Here is a 22330-nt window from a genome sequence, read left to right as displayed (position 1 = left end):
ATGGCTTCAAGAGAAACTAAAAATTTAAGTTCTGCCTTACTAGCAGCAATCTGCTAGTATCAGAAGCGGAAGTACCCAACTAGCCAGTCGGAAGTACCCAACCAGCCAGTTATAGTTGCTGGTTGGGTACTTCCGCTTCAGGTACTCTTTTGAATTGCAGCTCTGACTTTCAAGATGGTTTTCTGTGAAACACCCCAGATAATACATGTACTTAACCTTCAACACATGGAGACATAATAACTAAATATAGCCTGGCAATCTCCAATTGTAGGCAAAATAAAGCAAGGTTAATCCTCTCTTTTATTAAATACTATGATGCTCACAGAAGCCTTTGAAGAGGTTTTTATGCCTCCACAGATTGGTTGCCTACATTTGGTTGAATTTCCTGAAACGGTTTCACTTTGGGATATGCTTAAAGTACGTCTACCAACCAAATCATGCATTTCATTAAAGTGTCTACTAGGATTGTCTCAAGGCTTATTTTGATAGTGTCATTGTTACATTTACACAAGAATATTGCTTATCAATCAAAATCTTTTAGACTTTAGGACCTGTTACTTAATATTTAATATGGCAAATATGGCAGAAGTTGGTTTTGTTTTTGTGTGTGTGTTTTGGCGGGGGGGGGGGGTGTTTCTGTTTTTTTTGTTTTGTTTTGTTTTGTTTTGAGACGGAGTCTCTCGCTCTGTCACCCAGGCTGGAGTGCAGTGGCACGATCTTGGTTCACTGAAACCTCTACCTCTAAGGTTCAAGTGATTCTCCTGCCTCAGCCTCCCAAGTAGCTGGGATTACAGGCATGCACCATCATGGTCGTCTAATTTTTGTATTTTTAGCAGAGACCAGGTTTCACCATGTTGACCAGGCTGGCCTTGAACTCCTGACCTCAAGTGATCCACCCACCTCAGCCTCCCAAAGTGCTGAGATTACAGGCATGAGCCACCACACCTGGCCTAATATGGCAGAAGTTTTAAACCGTAGATATCAAGTTTGCTATCAAATATTTTCCCAAATATTACAAGAATTATAAGTTCCAGAGGAATAATTGTATCAAAGCTTTTTGTTGAAGAAGTTTTATATTACAGAATAGAAGATCATTTTTAAGATTTAATCAAGAATTCTATTCTTTCATTGGAAGACAGTTTCCAAAATGTTCATAATGCTTATCTCTGGTGGGTAAGATTATAGATTGATTTTTTCCTTTATAATTTTTTGTGTGTTCCAGGTGTTCCACAATGAACATCTATTCCTTTTGCAATGAGGAAATGTCATTTTTTAAAAGGCATATTCCTTCAAGGGTACATATAAAGTATACTTGGGCTTTAATAATTAATTACTATTTATCAATTTTAGATGGCATTCTTGAAGGGAGAAAAAGGGCAGTAAGTTTGCCTGAAACTTACATGGTTGGTAGGAAATGTATCAGTATCTTTTTAATTGGTTTTATTATAACAGACTATTTTCTGTCAAGTTCAAAAAGAAAAGTAAGGCAGACCCTCAGGCATAACTTGGAGCAAAGGTATAAATTAAACAAAATTCTCTGGCAGTTGATTTTACAGAATTATAGTAGCTGGTTGGGTACTTCCGTTTCTTTGCTGTGAAACAATACAAATAAATGTTTGCTTCAGCAACTGTGCTTCTGGAAGAAATATGTCCCTTGAGACATGGGGAAAAACAATTAAAGCTATAAATATATTACATATAGTAATTAGTGAAAGAGTTTATGCTTTCAGACTAGATTCAAAATACTTCTGGTTAAAAATATCATTTTTGTGTGGATACCTCTGTGGTGAATTTTCAACGGATGTGGGTATTTTTGTTGTTGTTGTTTTTTAAGAAATAGATTGTCACTCTTTGTGTTAGAGGGAAAAGGAAAATACCAGAGCTATTCATCATTTTGATGATTATTTATCCTTGGTAACTGGAAGATTGCCTTTATTTTGATGTTGCTATTTCTTTGTGGAAGTTGCTGAGACAGGGATTCCTCTCCCTCCCAGCTGCTCCACCTCTACTTCAACTTTAGAGTATCTGATGTTTTTCATATTTGCACACAGCAAGAAAGAGAGTGATTAGGGAAATGCAATGTTAAAGGCGCTATTATCTGAAATCAATTCCAGCAATTATCCATTACTGTTGTAATGACTGAATAGATCTCAAAGGCAATGGTGAAATTAATCATAAGGGCTGTACCTATACCAGTCTCTTTTTGGCTGGCTTACAATGCTAAAAATAGCACTATAATAAGTTAGTAATTATGTATGACATGAATATTCTGCTTCTTTTAAATTTTTTTATTTTTTGAATAATGCAGAAGTCACTGACTTCTCCTTCCTCTTTACATCATTTATAATATTTCTGTAGTATAAGGGAAATCTCCCCTGGAAAATATTGCATCTAAGGTCACGTATTCAGTTTAAGATTCAAATCATCAAAGAAAAATGTCAAAACCCTTTTCTTAAATCCTCAACAAACATCAAGTGTTAGCTTTGCTTTGCTGTGAGGGGCAGCTCTCACATTTATTACTCCTGCAGTAATAATAAAGCTTGGGATTATCTATGCTGGAGATTCAGAAAAACACTGACAGATCTGCCATAGACCTCCAGAGCTCTCCGACTGTTCGGTTACCCTGGAGAAGGTTTCTAACATTCTACCTTGTGTGATGGGAGTAGAAAGTCCAGAGACCACCCAACAAGTCAGCCCTTCCTACACAAAAACTCCCAAGAAATGCCTCAGCTAATAAGCCCCGAAAGAGAAATAGTGATTCTCCCTGAATAAAGTCAAGATATTGATGTGTACTTGGCCATGTGTGTACTTTGTCAAATACCTTAAAAAGTCAGTTAAAAATGGAGAATCATAAAACAAATTAAGCAAACGCTTGAGTATTTTATTTTACCCTGAAATTTCAAATGTACATCCATTCACCAATCTTCTGATGTCAAATCAAATCCTTCTCTTTAAGTAAGAATCTTCTGATTAGAATCTGCAAAAGCACCTCCATAATTCATTGCTATGAGTCTCAGTTTTGATATTTAAAACTGGAATGAAAATTTAAAGAGATTTGCAATGTAATTTGAGTAGACTGAGATTTTTCTGATTTTTCTCCTCCAGTCTTTTACAATTATTTCACTCACATCTAATTCAACAGTGATTTTTTTGAACTTCTTTCCTTTTTGAGCATTTTCAGAGCATTTACTTATTTTCCATAGAAATAATTCCTCTTCACACTTAAATTTTATCGCTTTGCAAGACCAGGCTCTTTTCTCCCGGTGTAACTAAATTTTGTATTGTGCTTTTAATGCTCCTATACAAAAGAAATCTCCACTCACTATTTAATTGCCTAACACATGGGAAGGGGTAGAACTAAAATCTTTCTGATTAGAATGTTTAATGCATAACATAGAGACTTGTTATGATAATAGTGCCTACTGATATAATTCTTTGTATTCCCTCCCATATGGATCACAGGAACTTTGTAAGGACATTGCATTAGGCTGCAGTACATGTATGTGGAAAAAGAAAGTAATAAAGGATTGAGTACTGAAGAGACACCATATCATTAGAGTCTAAAGAAATCTAACCATGTTTAATTAACCAATGTTTGCTGATGTCTTGAATATATCAGTAAGACTACTTTATTATAATTCCTTTTAATAATGCTGTTTATAAAACCATTTTCTGTCACGTTCAAACAGAAGAAATAAGGCAGACCCTAAGGCACAGCTTGGGGTGAAGTTTGAACATGTTTTAAAAACCAGGAGTCAATGAGTATTTTAAAAAGTCCTTCACACAGCCTATTTTAAGTGAACATTTAAGATAACTCTCTCATGACTACAGGTGGACTTGGATACCAGCTGCCATGTATTTCTGGGAGGAATTAAAATCTCAATACCATTTGTTAGCCAGGTTTAACAGGTGGAGATGTGTTCTTCAGCTGATGTGGTATTTTCATGTATAAAAGCTCAAATATGCTTTCTAATATCACAAGTAGACACGAAATTATTTTTGTTGCTTCTTGTTGATGAAATTACATTCTCAGTATATATATGCTGTGTTAATTAAATCTGGCAGTTTTATTCATGAGCTCAGGAAATTAAACATTATTTCATTTAGAAAAAAAAAACGAATTTAAGTCACATTGTGGCCATACTTATGAGCTGAATTTCAAAATGAAATCTCCATAATGTATTTTCAGAAAAGTTTCACTTTTTCTGGCTATCTTAGACCACTTTTTCATTTTAAAAACTCTCTTATGCATGGTTCCCCAGAAAACAGAATCCAAGGCAAAGATTTGCAAGCAGGAAGTTTATTAAGGAGCACCCTCGGGAACACCAGGGCAGCAGAAGAAAGGAGATGTTGAGTAGAATGCAGTTCCAGCTGAGGCCTCAGCTGATCCCATGGGGAGCTCTGGAACTGGGATGTCCCCTTAGAGGTGTCATGAATGGAGGCAAGAGATTTACTTTTAAACCCCGCTTTCAACCAATCGCTGCATCCAGGACGGGAGTCTAGCCTTGGGGAGGCAACTCCCTGAGGCTGAGAGCAATTCCCAGAGAGGAGGTGGACTCTGAGCTGCCAGCAGCCAACACTCCTAGCAGCCGGGAGAATATGCACTTCAGCCTTGAAGGGGAACTTTACACCAGCTGTGATTTCTTGTATAAGTAAATATGGCAGGTTTAGCAAAATAGGGTTGAGATTTTCTGTTAAAAATGAGAATAGGGATGCTGCCTACCTCATAGGGTTGGAGGATTACAAGATAATTCATATAAAAGACTTAAAGCAATATCCGTAAGCAATGAGGGCAATGACACGCTCAGTAAATATGACTAACACACACAGAATCTGACCACCTCCCTCCACGTCCACTGTCCCCTCCACCTCTCAGCTAGACCGCAGCAATATGCTCCTAACTGGTGTTGTGGTTTTCACCTTTGCCCTGCTTTCCTTCAGTCTGTTCTCAATACAGCAGCCCCAGGGATCTTCAGTGGGGTGGCCCAGCACTTGTGGAGGTCGAGATGGGTGGATTACATGAGGTCAGGAGTTCAAGACCAGCCCCGCTGGAGCCCCACTCACAGCAATCTGGAGCTCAGAAGGCTCCAGCCACCCCACCTCACTTACGGGGAAAGTGGGCGGCCCTGCAGCAGCCTCCATGCTCGCCCTGCACCACCTGCCCCCTTACTCCCCCTGACACACCTCCTGCTATTCTTCTTGCTTACTTGGCTCCAGACACACTGGGCTGCAGGCACGTGCATGCCAGCCACATCACCTTCCTGTTTCAGGGGTTCTGCGTTCTGTTCTTTCCTCCTAGAACCCTTCCCCCCTTACCTCAATGGCTGCCTCCCTCACACCCTTCAGCACTCCTCATATGTGTCATCGGCTTCTCCATGAGGCCTCCCTGGGCCACCCCACTGAAGACCACAAGCACCACCAGCATCCCCTGTTCCCCCTCTTTGCTTCATTTTTCTCCATTTATCACCCTCCGCTCTACTCACCTATCGTTTTGTTAATTGTGTGTCCCTCCTCTACCCAGTAAACTGCATGAAAGCAGAAATCTTTGTCCTTATCCCCAGCATGAAGGAGAGTGCCAGGAACATGGCACTGAGTAAATATTTGTTGAATGGAACAATGCTACATGTAAACTTCTTTATACTGTGGTTTTTTGTGTTTGTTTTTTGAGACGGAGTCTCACTCCTGTTGCCCAAGCTGGAGTGCGGTGGTGCGATCTCCACTCACTGTGGCCTCTGCCTTCTGGGTACAAGAGATTCTCTTGCCTCAGCCTCCCAAGTAACTGGGATTACAGGCACCTGCCACCACACCTGGCTAATTTTGGAATTTTTAGTAGAGGCGGGGTTTCACCATGTTGGCCAGGCTGGTCTTGAACTCCTGACCTCATGTGATCCACCCATCTTGACCTCCCAAAGTGCTGGGGTTACAGGCGTGAGCCACTCCACCTGGCCTTATACTGTGTTTTTAAAGTATGTGAATTACCTGGAATGTTTTAAAAGGTAACTGAGGTATAATGTAAAACCTAAATGTCGTCAATAGCAGAAGATCCTAAATTACGTCTATCTTTTCCTCTTCCTGAGTGCTAGATTGGCAAGGGGTAGACTTGCGATGGATAATTTCATGTCAGCTTGGATGGGCCATGATACCTAGATATTTGGTAAAACATTATTCTAGATGTTCCTACAAAGGTGCCTCTTGGATGAGATTAACATTTAAATCAGTAGACTTTGAGTAAAGCAGATTATCCTCCAGAATGTGGGTAGGCCTCATCCATCCCGTTGAAGGACTTAACAGAAAAAGACAGACTTCCCTGGAAGGAGAGAAAATCCTACCCACAGACTGCCTTCTGGATTCTAACTGCAGCTCCTCCCTGGGTCCCCAGCCTGCCGCCTACCCTGCAGATTTTGGACTTGCCAGCCCCCACAATCATGAGAGCCAGTTCCTTAGGATAAATGTCTCCCTAAATGTAAATATACACATCCTGTTGCTTCTGTTTCTCTGGAGAACCCTGATTAATTCAGATTTTCCTCTTTTACTACCCTGCTCATTTTTCACGCCTAAGGCTGATCTCTTCTTTTCTGCTCAAGGTTCCATAATTTCCAGTTTCTCAGAGCTTATTTATAATCCTCTGTTTAAATCCTTTGCTTCCTCCCCTTCACCTGGCACTTTCCCATTAATATTTAAATATTCTCTAGTTGCTCCTACCATCAAACAAACAAACAAACAACCGAGCCTGTCTGTATCTCTTGTTTTCCTCCTCCTGCCATTCATCTGTGTGCTTCCTTATCTCCTTCCTACCTTTTAAGTGTCAAAATTTCCCAGAAAGTTGCAATGTCTTCCTTATTTTCTCTCATTACTCAACTACATTCTGGCATCAGCTCCCTCCCCACATGTGAAACTGCTCTCCCCAAGTCACCAGCTACCTCCATGCAGATAATTCCAATGGACCATGCTTGGGCATCAAATTACCTAACTCTCAGCAGCATTTGACTTTGTTGACCACTTCCTCCTCCTTAAAGTAATTCTTTTTTAGCATCTGTGACACCATGCTCTCTTGCTTTTTCTGCTCCTTCTTTAGATTGTCCTGCCTCCACCAACCCTTAATGGAAGAGTTCTCAGGACCCTCTCCTCCTTCCCTACATCTTGTTCTCTTCTCAATCTTTGCTTTTTAAGGGGTTCCTTCAGTCCCAAAGGCTTGTTAGCATCTGTGTATATGCTGGTTGACCCTCAAATCTATGACTCTACCATTATCTTTCCCCTGATGATCAGAGCCATCTACCCAGCTGGACATTTTCACAAATTGCCCTCTGCACCTCAAACTTGACTGGTCATCTTCTCCCCAAAACTTGCTCCTTGTCCTTTATTTTCCTCCTTTCCATTCTCTGCTTCAGCCAGAATAAAATCCTTTCAGTTTCTCAAGTTCTGTTTGGTTTTGCTTTCTCTCCTTGGAACCCTTTCCTTCATCTTCCTGCTCTTACCCCTCCCTCGCACTCCCAGTCCCCTTTGTTGCTGCCCCTCCCAGTAAAGCATCGTCTCTCCTGGAAAAACCTTGGTGAATGTCTCAGGCGCCTCTCATTTGCCCTCGTCCTGTATGCTCCTGTCAGCTCCAGCTCAGCTTTACTGCTCTGTCTGCTCTCCTCACAGTGCATTAGAGTCCGTTGGTTTTCCTGTTTCTCTTCTACCACAGGGCGCTCTTGAGGGCAAGGACAGCTTTCTCTTTAATGCTGTGTGCCCTTAGCAAACGGTCTGGCACATTGTACGTGCTTTATACATGCTTGTGAAAACAAAGTCTGGACGAACATAATGCATAAAATCTCGATCACAGGGCTCTTAGAGTCAGAGGACAACTCCATAAGGACAAACAGTGTTTCTCAATGGCAGAGCTCTTGATATTTTGCAGAACAACTTTTCTTTGTGCAGAACTGTCCTGTGCATTGCAAGATGTTTCACACCCCTAGCTCCTGCCCATTATATATCAGGAGTAATACCCAGTTCCTGCAGTGGGTATTCAAAACATACCCACTCTCCTCCCCACTCCTCATGATCTCCTTACTTGGCAGTTATTAATTAGGAATATGAACATCCTTTTCCTGCCCACCATTGTCTCTTCTCTGAGATAATCCATCAACCAGAGTGCACTCATGCTAGGAAGTGTTAGTGCAACAAGGATCCCAGGTGCACACTGATCTGTCACACAGAAACCACACAGGATTTTGAATGTCCTTATAACCTTGGATATAGCTTTTTCAATTACACGTGTCTGGAATTCCATTTGGTCTTGAGCATATTGGAAAAACTTGGAGAAAATTGCTCTGGTGCCTCTGGGGATCATTTGCTTCAGATGATGAAGGATTGACAGGCTTTGGAGGGAGTGCTGGACAAAGAACATTCCTACATTCTTAAAATGGAGAGGGTTACTTGCCCTTCACATCTGAGAACTCTCAGTATAGGAGAAACAGATGGACACAGAATGACTTGAGTGTTCACTAGGTTAGTGATGAAGAAATAATGGGTGTAATTTTGACTGATGGGAGCAAGTTGAAAGCTATCAGCAACAGTGAAGAGTGTGATTTTTCAGAGGATGAAAAATCCATGTGAGGAAGGAGAACTGGCTGCTTCAGCCTGGCATGGGTTCATCAGGGCTAGAGGGAGCCAGTCAAATCACCCAGAGGTCCTGCAGCTGACCCCAAAATATTAAATGTATGTAGTGTAACAGGTGTGGTGATGGATATTTTTATACCCACCATCTCATTTGTTCATGTAGAAGCCCATTTATTCACAGAGAAGGTCAATATGTTATTAAGCTTACGTTTTTAAAGAAAGCAACTAAAGCACAGACATGAATTCAAACTCACATAGCTGGAATGCCTCTCATGGCTTCTGACTCCAAATCCAGTTATTTTTCCACTCCACCAAAGCAGTTTCCTATCTATTCTGCCACAAAAACCAAAGTTCACCCCAAGCCTCTGAGAAAGGTTAATATGTTCACCATTTCTATTTAAAGGAATAGAGAAATACTTAATTCAGTAAACTTCCCAACCCCTAGCAGTAAATTCTCAGGAATCAGGTTCAGCCATTTAAAATGATTCATTTCCTAAGGGCACTCAAGAGCCATGGCTTTACTCTGCATAGTCTTGGAAAATTGACTGGGAGGAGCCCTTCTGCATCACTGTTGGAGGTCATCCATTGTGCAAGGTCAGATAATTTAGCTGGCCCCTCTTGAAGAGTGCGTCACATTTCCCTGAATTGCAGTTGAGGCTTTTTCCCGAGGCTATCTGTAATGGATCAGAAGGAGTACGGTGCAAGATGAAAGTGGTAAAACTTATTTGCTAGGTGTTAATGGCAATTTCAAACAATTAAACAAGCAGACTAATAAAATGATCAGTTTTACTCAAGTGCAATTTAGTCACATGAGGACTTAAATTTCATAACATGAAGGAATCATGCACTTAAAATATGCCACAGACTAATATGGTTGGAAATAATGCTGTCACCTCCTGAAATGAAGTTTATTTTGTATATTTTTCAGTCCAGTGGAATTCTGGTTTTATGGTGGAATGTTTTTCTCAGTCATGTTTTTCTTTTGGACTCTTATTTTCTCAACAGGAAATAGAAAATAAACATCTGACCTTAGCATGGTTAACCTCAAATAAATTAATGTGTGGTATGAAAATCGGACAAATATACACACCCTGAAAATAAATCAGGGTGTGTATTCTCCGAAAGGAAATTGCAAACTAGAGCACATCATTCAATATTATTTGAACAATGAAATGCCATATACGGCACTCAGATAATGAAAAGTAAACAGCATTCTTAACTCTGGAACAGATTGTACAAAATTTAAAGTAAATAACTGACATAAAATTCAAAACTTGATTTTATTCACATACAGCTTATGTCTATGGATCTTTAGTTGAGGTTAAAGCTGAAGAAGGGTAAATCAGAAAGCACGTATGTAAATCTTACACACTTACTGGGTGTTGTTAATCCCAAATAGCTTTCCATAGTACTGTGCTTTTCAGAGACACCATGATTATTTTGTATGACAGAAGACAAATTTTTGCAGTGAAGATTCTGAGTAGCCAAACTTTCTGGGTATTGAGTTTATTTCACTTCTGCCACTGAGAACTAGTTCCTATAAGAGCATAGTTGAATGATTTAGCCAAAGAAACAACAAGATGAAAAGAATTATTCCAAATGGAAGCTCTAATTTATTTGCTGAACGTTGAATGACGAATGAAGTTTAAAAACAGATTTACAGGAGCCGGCTGCCTTCTTAACATTTAAGAACACAAGTGCTTCTGAGATGTCTTTTTTTTTTTTTCTTTAAAAGATGGGGTTTCACTGTCTCCTGGGCTGGAGTGCAATGATACCATCATAGCGCCCTGCAGCCTCAAACTCCTAGGCTCAAGTGACTTGAGATGTCTTTTTTTATAATCTATTATTTACTTAATTTCTCCCAGTTTCCCTTTCCTCAACTGTAAAATAAATAGTACAATAGTTCTACTTAAGCAGTTTTGAAGGGTAAATGAGACAATGTCTGAGACAGCACTTTAAAAATGTAAAGTACCATTTACACATCCTAGGTCCTCTGGAACTCATTTTCTTTTGTTCCCGCCTTCTATTTTTTGCTTAGACAAGTGTTCCTTCCCAGGGACTTTTTCCTATTAACATGCTGACATTCGTTCTTCAGAGATAAGATGAGAGGAATGATGCCCTTGACTGCCTACTCTATTAATTCTACTTAAGGAAATGTCACTAGCTAAAAATTAAGAACCCCTAAAATGCTTAAATGGATATTGTTTATCCAGTAACTAAAGTACCCAATACTTGAACACAAATTTTTCTTCAGCTCATAGAACCACATCTCTATATGTATGTTTTGTTATTTTTTTTAATCTTTATTTTTATTTTTTTGTAGAGACAGGGTTTCGCCATGTTGTCCAGGCTGGTCTCAAACTGCCGAGTTCAAGCGATCTGCCAGCCTTGACCTCCCAAAGTGCTGGGATTACAGGCATGAGCCACCTCACCCGGCCCCATACATTTCTTTTTTAATGAGGAAATAATAAGCTTATTTGTACCCCAGAATGATTGGACAATATAACTCATTTTCTCTATAATAAATTTTAAAAATGAAATTCATCAAAATAATAATAAATAGCAAAAGAATCTTCATAAACAATTCAAATGTTGAAGAATACTGTGAGAAAGAAAATCCAGTGAGTGCTCTTACAAACAGGCCTGAAAAATCACCACTGCTCCAGTTCAGCAGATCTTTTGTTGAGGTTTTCTGGACGGGGAAGGGAATAACCACTATCAGGACATTTGTAAAACATACCTGTAGAAGGCAAAGTCAAGATGGACTTAATTTATTCCGACAATTGATGTAGCAACAGAGACATCTCTTACATTATTCATCTTTCCAATAGAAAATTCCCTTCCTGGAGAGATCAGGATTGAATTAGGCCCAAGCTAATTCAAACGCAAATTTATTTAAAAAGTAAACACACAAAATAAATTTTGTCCTTGCACAGGTCTGCTGTACAGTGTGTGTTTTAAGAAAATATTTACATCTGTATTTTTCTTTTTTTTAGATATTTTTCCTGACCTGGTTGTTAAGAATCCTTTTCATGAAATTCAGCTTGGTTTCATAAATAATGCAAAGCTTGCTTGTGATTAGGTGAGCCTCCTCAGATACCCAGAGAGAGAAAGGATATTGCTAGCAGGTCCTTAGTATTGCCGGGAATAAGCAATAGCTACACATTTTCCAGGTGGAGGGCTTTGCTTGGTTATAGAATCAGCGAGTCCCTGTAAATATCAGCAATCTCCTTCCTTGAGGAGTTGGGGATCTTTGCCAACATAGAGCCTCTTCCCGGACTATAATTGGTCCCTCCTCCTGAGCATCACGTTTCTGCAGCTCCAAGTTGGTTCTTAGAGCACAAGGCATAGTAAAGGCCTTTTCTCTTATAGCGCTTCTGTTTCTCTTTACTTCTCTTCTTACTATTCGCTTTTGTTTTTAAGAGTTCAGGGTGGACTTGAATTCTGTTTCTGATTTGAAGGAAACAAAAGAGAAAGAGAAAGCCATTTCTGTAGTCAGTGACCTTTGAAATACATGGCTGTTCATTTACATGGCAGTGGGGTCATGAGTGAATATAAAATTCAGGAAGTTGGGCTTAAAACTTGCCGGAGATGACCGGCTGCTTACAGAGCAAACAGGCACCTTACATGGGTGAGCCCATGGTGGAAGGTCTTATTGAATTTAGCCTGTCCTTTCCTTTAGTGTTTTCACCTCAGAAGTTCATTTCAAGGGCTCAGAGCCTTAAATAAATAAGAAAAAGAGAACGTCTTAAGAAATTATTTCCTCTACGAAAAAGGAAGACACATGTCCCAGATAAGCTTTCTGTTACTGCTTGTTGTAAAGGAAATAAGGAATATGGAAATTGGCTTCATCATGTGCATGGGACAACCCTTAAATCTTCTGATGGTTACAGTGCTTTGCTGAACATACAAAGCAAACAAAAGCCAAAGCTTCTTTAGAAGAATTCGAGTCCTGGCTGTGATGTGCTCTGCAACCACTTCCAAAGTAATTCTTAGACACAAGCTTTGCGGGACACTTTCCTGGGCATGGAGTGAAGGGACAGGTACAGAAACATATTTTGCCCTCATCATAGCCTCATATCTTCTAAAGGCATCTCAGAGAGAGCACCAAGCACTTGTCTCCCAGGAACTGAAGTTGGATGTAATGGGGCCAGTATCAGAGACCCTTAAGTTGTCTATGCTAATTAAAAGCGATCAGAGAGAAGCAAACAACAGCGCGTGTGCTGGCTCAGTGTGCTTTCTGCCAGACTTCCTCTAAAGATCTCTCTCCTAACAGCCTCCAAAGCTTCTGTGAATAATTAGGGCTTTCAGGCTTTGGGAGGATGTAATATTCCTTTGAATTGATTCTAGCCCTTGTCAGTCAAGAGGAACATTACAGAGTGCCTTCCTGGAAATATTAGTTCTGAGGGATGTTTATAGCTGTTCTGTAAGGGAGTAGCGAAGGGTCAAATAAACTTAAGAGACTCTGGGTAGAGCAAAGATTAAAAAGCAGTGCAAATTGTCTTCCCTGTCCTTTTAATAGGAACCTCTTCTGTCCCAGAATTAAACTGATCTTCTTAGAAGGTACAGAACAGGGGGCAAGCATGGCATTTTATGGTCAAGGGGCTTGACAAGTACAGATCCCGTTTTTATTACTTGGGCGTTATCTTGGCATTTCTACATTAAAAGCCAGCTCTACCGGCTTATTCAAAGTACTCTGGGTGACAGAGATGGAACAAACCTACCAGACTGCTAACTATGTCCACTCTGAATATATCAAAAACAATTAAATTATGGAGCTGTGTAGATTTGGCTTCTGTATAGTTTTGAGTTTAGGAAATAAATTGGTTCCTTTCTTACCTTAATCAGTATAAATTTGATATACTGATGTCCACCTCATCCTCTTTTACATTTGCTTTTGAACATTAGGAATGCTATTTTTGACTTCATCGTACCTTTGGGTTTTTTTGTCTTTAAGTGTTCTAAGTTCTTAGTATTTTCTGTCTGAGACTGTACTAGGACAGGTGGAACCAAACTGCAGTAGGAGGGGGGAAATGAGATAAAATGGAAAAAAAGAGAAGAGGAGGCATTTTGCAGATTAAGTTTATTTTTATGGGGTGACATTATATATCATCCTTTCTCAGTCATTGCAGTCTTACCAATGCTCTAATCCAAAGATGTTTATGGGCCAGGTGTGGTGGTTCATGCCTGTAATCCCAGCACTTTGGGAGGCTGAGCCAGGTGGATCACCTGAGGTCAGGGGTTCGAGACCGGCCTGGCCAACATGGCGAAACCCAGTCTCTCCTAAAAATATAAAAATTAACTGGGCGTGGTGGCGGACGCCTGTAATTCCAGCTACTTGGGAGGCTGAGCAGGAAAATCGCTTGAACCTGGGAGGCGGGGGTTGCAGTGAGCCAAGATCGTGCCACTGCACTCCAGCCTGGGCAACAAGAGCAAAACTCCGTTTTTTTGTTTTTGTTTTTGTTTTTGTTTTAAAGATGTTTATGAAGATTCCTCCTCAAAGGATCGCTCAGCATCTGGTGTAAATAGTGGACCCTGCACAGGCAGCTGGTCAGAGGCCTCACCAGGCCACAAACTCAGGCTAGAAACTTAGCACCTGAGGCAAGGAGGATTTTCTATCACAAGAAGTGGAAAGTAATCTTATTAAATGTCTTTAACCCTGGTAGATCCACATACTATTTATTCTTGTACTATTTAAGAATTATTTAATTATAAATATGTGCATCCCTGCCCTAATTATATACTTTCAGCTGCAAAAGTCGTTGACCAGTAAGATTGGACACAAACCATTCAAGTACAAGAATAATTCAGTGTTTCATTTTGGCTGTTCATACTTGGGGGAAGAAGAACAAGCAAGTTGTGCCCAACTTAGAAGTTTTTGAACCATCACAGCTTAATATTTTTAACTTTTCAGGTTGTATCCACGCCATGCAAGTGCGCTCAACAACCTTGGAACACTGACGAGAGACACAGCAGAGGCAAAGATGTACTATCAGAGGGCTCTCCAGCTCCATCCACAGCATAACCGGGCTCTTTTCAATCTGGGGAATCTCCTCAAGTAAGTGGGACGTTTACCATCGATCAGGTGGCCTTGCGATTCCAAGAAACTCTTTCCTTCTCAACACTCATTTGATTGTGCTGCACTTGCCTCTCTCTGGAGCTGAATAATTAGGGTTTTCAGACTTTGGGAGGGTGTAACATGCATCTCAATTTCTTTTCCTTATCAGTCAAAAGCTGTATTTCCCAGAGTGTCTTTCTGGAAATAGTAGTTCTGGAAGATTTTCATAGATTGTCTCTAAAGAAGTAAGAATGGAAAAGTGTTACATGGTCAGATAAATTGAGAACATGCTGAGCTAAGCAGATTGTTTATTTATGGCAAGAAGCTTTAATATGCTAATATTCTTTGTGAATCTTCAAGAAGGGACTGTGGGATAGTCATTTTTGTCTTTTCTTTGTGTGTGTGTGGAGGGAAGGCATTTCCAAAGACAAATATTCCATAATATACTTTGGGAAAAGCAGCATTCTCTGAAGGTATAGACAAATGGTTAACCATACTTCTACCCAGTTTGTGTTGTAGGTGAGAAATAAAGTGGTGCTTGCTGGAATTAGTAGTCGGAATTAGTAGTGATGACTTTGGTGCTTAGGAATAATTCTCAGACATAACCTCTAGTGTTTGCTTTTTACTTGCTGCCCTGATAAAGGTTGATAGTGTGATTAAAGTTACTGAAGACTACAGTAAAGGGTGCTTTTGCATCTTGTGTGTTTATTAATATAGTCTAAGCATGTTGGTGATGGTCCAGACAATGATAGTAGTAACGGTGGTGGTAGTTATGGAATTTAGCTTCTAAACTTAAAAAAAAAAGGTTAACAAATATCAGAAATGGAAATTTAAAAGGTAAAAATGACCAGAATTGGAGCGTAATAATATGTTTATCTGTGCTTGTCAGAATGCTGACAATCCACATGGTTGCTGTTGGTGGGAGTGTAAGTTAGTTCAACCATTGTGGAAGACAGTGTGGTGATTCCTCAAGGATCTGGAACCAGAAATACCATTTGACCCAGCAATCCCATTACTGGGTATATACCCAAAGGATTACAAATCATTCTACTGTAAAGACACATGCACACATATGTTTATTGCAGCACTATTCACAATAGCAAAGACTTGGAACCAACCCAAATGCCCATCAGTGATAGACTGGATAAAGAAAATGTGGCACATATACACCATGGAATACTATGCAGCCATAAAAAAGGATGAGTTCATGTCCTTTGCAGGGACATGGATGAAGCTGGAAACCATCATTCTCAGCAAACTAACACAGGAACAGAAAACCAAACACCACACGTTCTCACTCATAATTGGGAGTTGAACAATGAGAACACATGGACACAGGGAGGGGAACATCACACACTGGGGCCTGTCGGGGGGTAGGGGGCAAGAGGAGGGATAGCATTAGGAGAAATACCTAATGTAGATGACGGGTTGATGGGTGCAGCAAACCACCATGACACATGTATAACTATGTAACAAACCTGCATGTTCTGCACAAGTATCCCAGAACTTAAGTATAATTTTAAAAAAATAAATAAATAAAAAATAAAAAAAAATTACCGGGCCTGGTGACTTGTGCCTGTAATCCTGGCTGCTTTGGAGGCTGAGGCACAAGAATCACTTGGGCCTGAGATGCAGAGGTTGCAGTGAGCTGAGATCATGCCACTGTACTCTAGCCTGGGTGACAGAGTGAGACTCTGTCTCAAAAAAAAAAAAAAAAAAAAAGGATGTTGGAACTGAATCCTAAACCCTTTATAGATTGTGAAGCAGTGAAATATAAAATCAATTGATGTAAAATTTTTCTTGAATAAATTTTAGAGCTGATAAATTGGCAACATTTGGATCCTAGTATACTGAAACATAGGTCTTACATTGGATTCCTTTCTGTATGACTAATAAATTGGTCCTATATGGGATAAGAGGAGCCTCTGAAAGACTGAGGAGAATATAGACTAGAAAATAAAACACATTCGGTGTGCTTCTTTATATGTATATTTTATTTCATGTATATATTTGAGACAGAGTCTTGCTCATTCACCCAGGCTAGAGTTCAGTGGTGTTATTATGGCTCGCTGCAACCTCTGCCTCCCAGACTCAAGTAGGTGGGACTATAGGCATGCCCCCCCATGGCTGGCTAAGCTTTTTGTATTTTTTGTAGAAGTGGGGTTTTGCCATGTCACCCAGGCCGGTCTCAAACTCCTGGGCTAAAACAATCCATCTGCCTCAGCCTCCCAAAGTACCGGGATTATAGGCATGAGACACTGTGTCTGGCCTGCTTCTTTGCATATGTATAGCACAATATAGGTTTTAATTATCGTTAAGTCTACAATTTGTAATTTTCTTTGACCCACCTTAATACACTGCTCTGCTTTTTCTTACTTTTAGTCTTGCTAAAGACTCGCTAACGTCTTGCTAAAAGTAAGAACATTCAACAGTCCTTTTCCATGCCCAAATCCCTACTAACAGTGATATTAAAACTAATTGTGTATTAAAAAAAAAACAAGAAAGGAAAAACAACTGATAATGAAGACAAGTGTACAACTGTGGTGGAAAAAATATTTTAGTTCTAAGAGGCTCTTTTTAAAAATAGCAAATCAAACAGTGTGACAAAAATTAGATCTACTTATTGTAGATAGCTAGATACAGATCATTATCATGTTGTTATTTCACTCTGCTACTTTTATGAGCACGTATTTCTTTATGTGAAGTTCTAAGGATTTGTGTTTTAATAAGTCATTGTTGCATCTGTATATGTCCTCCTTAAGAGCCCAAATAACGTACTGGTTATATAAAATCCTGTAAATGTCTTTTGGGGTACCTGGATTATATAGCGCTACATTCAAAAATCATATAGATGAGTATTTTACCCATAGAAGCCAAATATAAAGGCTTGGCTACAAAATGGCGTTTCTTGTTAGGAATGCTATTCTACAGTTATGATCATAATATGGTGCTGAATTTGGCTCTAATTGAAAATAATGGCAGATATTCTTATAAGTTTCATTTTGCTAAGACCTGAGCAAAAGATGGATGCTCTAACTTTCCTTTTTCAATTTTCATCTTATCACTGCTAACATCTTAAATTAGTACATGTGAGTTAAAAATGCATTTTGGAACTTGGCAATGGCTACTTTTCACAGTAAGAGGAGTTATTGGGTAACCAACACAGGATTTTTTACCCCTTCTCTTTTTCAGTAAAAATCAATTCTTGATGATGATCCAAATCAACAACAATGCTTTACATTTGTATAAGACTTTACTGTTTCCTGAGTGCCTTTTTTTTCATGATGCCCTTACAATGAGTCTTTACAGTGAATAGGAAAGAAGAGAAAACAAGCTCCTAAGAAGTTAACAGAGGTCCAAACAAGTTATCCTTGTTTACCTCCTCTTGCCTGTTACACCATAGAGCCAAGTGGCTGTATCTCAGCATAGGTCAGTCATAGAATTCAGTAGATTAAAATAATGATAAGAGCTAACTCTGAAAAGCTTTCCAGTTTACAGATAAGTTTCTTTTAATATTCATTATTTAATCTTTAAAACGATCTATTAGGAGATATATTGCCTTCCTCATCCCCATTTTACCGGTGAGGAAACCAAAGTTCAGAGGTTTTATGTGACCTTGGCTCAGGCCATGGCAGAGCCAGGATTGAATCCCTACCCTTGAACTCCTTTTCCTGTTCACTTTCCATTACCCACGTGCCCAAATAGCTTTCCAATCCAAACATTACATAATATTAGACTGTTTAATGGCATGCAATTGCCTTTTGGGAGAAAGGACCACCCTGCATCTCTCTTAAAGAAACAGCAAATTTGATTTCCATCACCCTGAAGTTATGTTGCTAAGTAACAGAGAGAGATGACCCAGAAAATAGCACTTAGATAACTGAGCTTTATTTCTGCTTACCTTAATACATTTCTGAGCCATAGCAATGGGTCAAAGGCAAGAAGAGGATAAAAACACTTTCAATTTGATTTGACTTAATCTGTTTTACTATTTATTCACTTTAAGATGTACACAATATTGATTTCTCCATTGAGTTAACTTTTGAGTTATTGAGTTAACTTTAAAAAATTGTATCCTTCTTTATAACCTGGAACTTAATGCTCATTCTGAGAATCCAAGTTATCTCTTTAGATGTGAACAGTTTATATTTGATAATCCCTGAGAGGAAGCACTATCATTATTCCTGTTTGATTAATAAGGAAACTAAGATTTGGAGAAAATAAGTAACATGCCAAAGTCCTTTAGTAAGGAAATAGAAGACACAGAATGGAACCTAGACCTGCTCTAGCCCTTCTGCCCCTAACCACCGCACTCTACTGCCTCCTTGTGGCCCACCTGAAAACTGGGCTACAGCCTGCAGCATCACTGCCCAGTAGAAATGAGAGCCATACATGTAATTTACATTTTTTTAGGTAGCCAGATTTTAAAACATTTTAAAAAGTGAAATTATTTTTAATAATATTTATTTAACCCTAATGTATTCAAATTATTTTAGCATGTGATTAATATTAAAACATAATTTTTAAAATTTAATGTGAGAAATTGAAAATATTACTGAGATGGTGTGCATTCTTTTTTTTTTAAATGAAATATTTGGAATGCAATGTGTGCTTTACACTTACAGCACATCTCAGGACAGCCATATTTCAAGTGTTCAGTAGCCACATGTAATTTGTGGCTACTATATTGTACAACACAGATGTTTATTAATAACCTTGACTTCGAAAGAAATATGAGTCTTTGTCCAGGCCAGAAGCTCTAAATAAGACGTGACTCTATCAGAGCATCCAAGGCAATCTTATAGCAACTCATTTGAATTCTTGGAATTATATGACAGACGGCTTCAGACCCATTCATAGCAGCAGACTTCACTGAGTGTTATCCAAATATATCTGGCCCCTTTTATGACCATTTCACTGGACTTTGCAGCTAATATGTCATGATGCTGTGCAGCACATTTACAGTGTGAGAGGTTGATAAGAAGCAGCTTTCCATGCCAGCATTCTTAATTTATATTAATTCTTGTTGGCTTTGGTTAGAATTTAAAATGTCAAAAAAAAAAAAAAAAGAAGAAAGAAAATAGGCAAGATTAGCATGAACTTTTTATGGATGAACAGAGCGGAAGTCCCTGATGGCTCAACAGAATATAATAGAATATTTAAATTCAGGATATGGGAAAAATATTTCTGTGAATGCTCTGTTAAAATAGCTGTTGGTGTTTATTACTGAAATGGAATATAAAAAGAACTTCTTGAAGAACCATGTCATACCTCCCTTATTGCCAAAACTACCTTTTGTTCACATAATAGAATATGAGTGTTAGGTAGGTATTACAATAAATCTTATAATCAAAACTCAGGGGAAAATGTAATGGAATGTCCAATAATTGAACTATATAGCAGATGAATTTGATAACAGGATATATTTGATTTACTTTAGTCTGATCCTTTAGAAAATTGAATATCTAAAAAATATTAGGAGGCAGAAATAAGGGTAACCATTATCTTTTAAGTGCTAGGGATATGTTTCCTAATACCTTTGGCACTAGCCACACAAACTTTTATTTCATAAAAAGGAAGTTGATACATTCAAGATAGTAGTTTTTCTCTACCTTTTAACTGAAGCCCCGGAGAGTAGACAATGCCAGCCACATGGATAAAGAAAACTTTTTAACACCCTTACTACCACATTAGTATACCAGCTTCAGATGAGCATTTTCTGCATCCTCCTCTTAGCATGAAATTCTATCCCCCACTCTGCACCCCTGTGGTAGTGACCTGTTCCCTCCACCTTTAGTTACTTCTAGTCCCAATCCCATTACACTTGCTCCCCTTCATCTTTGTCCAAATCATGTTTGTTTCTCTCTAGCTCTGTCTCCCTGCTCTTTTTTTTTTTTTTTTTTTTTTTTTTTTTTTTTTTTTTGAGATGGAGTCCCACTCTCTCCCCCAGGCTGGAGTGCAGTGATGCAATCTCCCTGCTCTTTTAAAGCCCAGTCCAGCATCTCATAACACCATCCTCATCCCTGCCATTTCACAACTTCTTGTACCTTCTTCCATCATCCTCAGGGACTTGAGCACCAGGGCAGTGACTCTCCATTGCTCACCAAACTATGCTGCGCTCTTCAGCAAGAAGATCCATCACCAAGTTCCTGTGCTTCTGTCCCTTCAGGGCCCCCCATTTATGCTCTACCTTAGCATTTACCAACATGGCCTGGCCACTGGCTTTTTAATTATGCAGACTTTGTCATTCTCTAGCATTTGAACTCCGAAATGCTCCTCTTTGAGCTTAAACTCTTACCTCTGTCCTCCCTTCCCTTTTCCCCACTCTCTCATTCCCGCTGACACTTTAAAGGGATCATGATTATGACCTGCCACCTCCTCGCTCCTCTGTCTGCTCAGTTGCCTTCTATTAAGACCTAAGCATCAGCATAGCTTCCGTGACAGGTGCTATTCTCCTGCTCCCTCTTTCCTGCCGGCCCTGCACTTGATCACTGTTAGAACCTCTCTTCTCCCTGATTTTTGCATTCATAATTTATAACCCTATCTCTAATTTATCTGATGTATTTCAGTAATGCACGTGACATCAACTTAGACTCTTTCACACTTTTACCAACATTTACCTGCCTGACAAGGCCAACCCAAGTTACTTCACTACCTGTATTTTGCTTTCCCTAGACCAATATTTCTCAATTTTTTTTTTCATTATCATACTCACCTCTTTTAAGGAGCTTTTTTAGATATTTTTTCTTATCAGCTTTCTCCCCAATTAAACACTCAAGAATAAGATTTGTTACATAGGATTGAGCTTGGAAAGACCCAAAACCATTGTAATGTCTATGATTATTTTTCACCACCATCATCCCCACCCCAAGAAACAATTTTCACTCCTGTAGAGAATGTAGGACTCTAGACTGTCATCCAATCTATCAAATGATAGAGGAAAAAAATACAAATCTGAGTTGAATGGGATCCCTACATGGAAAACAAAACCATGATTAGGGGTAAGAGCTGTTGAAAATTCATTCCTTATGGTCTTTTATGTTATCTCCTGTTTCCCTAATGCATACATCCTCTGTTCCCCTCCTCAGTGCCCTGTACACACACCCAGAAGACAACCTCATCCCTTACTTTTACTTAGAATATTCAGGTCATTCAAGGTGAAATATTACAGTTTCCTTTCTTTCTATCTCAAAATTTCCTGCATGTTCGTAGACTCCTGCTTGCTTTGCTCTCCCATAGAAGAAAGCCTTATTAATATCTTGCCTCCTTCATGAGGCTAGTGTTTATACCTGTGTTTGTGTGTTTTTTTTTAAATTGAGGCATAACTAACATGTATTAAAATGCACAAATCTTAAGTCTTCAGTGCAATGAGTTTTGACAATTTTATGTGCTCTTATAATTATTCCCAAAATAACGTAGACAATTTCCATCACCCCAGAAAGACCTTCCATACCTCCTTCCAGTAAGTTTCCACCTCCCCTGAGGCAATCACTGTTCTGATTTTATTTTTTTTACGATAAGTTAGTTTGGCCTAGAACTTTATTTTAAAGTGATAATTTGGTATGTATTTTTGGCATCTGGATATTTTCATTTAGCACAATTTTTTAGTCTTATCCATGTTGTTACATATTACTTTTTATTGCTGAGTAGTATTCTATTGAAATTAATCTTAGA

General features: G+C 39.1%; 1 protein-coding gene and 2 long non-coding RNA genes across 12 annotated transcripts in view; 1 reads left to right on the top strand and 2 right to left on the bottom strand.

The window, feature by feature from the left end:
• TMTC1 (transmembrane O-mannosyltransferase targeting cadherins 1) overlaps positions 1-22330 on the top strand; it is a 283947-nt gene that overhangs the window by 213247 nt on the left and 48370 nt on the right. For all 10 annotated transcript variants that reach the window (NM_175861.3, XM_047429634.1, XM_017020005.2 and 7 more), the window contains one exon: positions 14513-14656. In NM_175861.3, the coding sequence (NP_787057.2) occupies positions 14513-14656 (144 nt within the window). The remainder of the gene's footprint in view (positions 1-14512; positions 14657-22330) is intronic.
• Positions 9207-11398, bottom strand: LOC124902909 (uncharacterized). Its single transcript, XR_007063259.1, has 3 exons — positions 11339-11398; positions 9975-10135; positions 9207-9272 (listed from the first exon to the last, which is right to left on the bottom strand). It is a non-coding gene; the product is annotated as an uncharacterized LOC124902909 (long non-coding RNA).
• LOC105369714 (uncharacterized) overlaps positions 14843-22330 on the bottom strand; it is a 36940-nt gene continuing 29452 nt past the window's right edge. Inside the window, exon 6 of the long non-coding RNA XR_007063258.1 lies at positions 14843-14893. This is a non-coding gene — a long non-coding RNA (uncharacterized LOC105369714). The remainder of the gene's footprint in view (positions 14894-22330) is intronic.

Source organism: Homo sapiens, chromosome 12 (genome assembly GCF_000001405.40).
Source record: "Homo sapiens chromosome 12, GRCh38.p14 Primary Assembly".
Lineage (NCBI taxonomy): Eukaryota > Metazoa > Chordata > Mammalia > Primates > Hominidae > Homo > Homo sapiens.
Note: the sequence above shows the minus strand (reverse complement) of the source record. Positions and strands in the feature narration are given on the sequence as shown.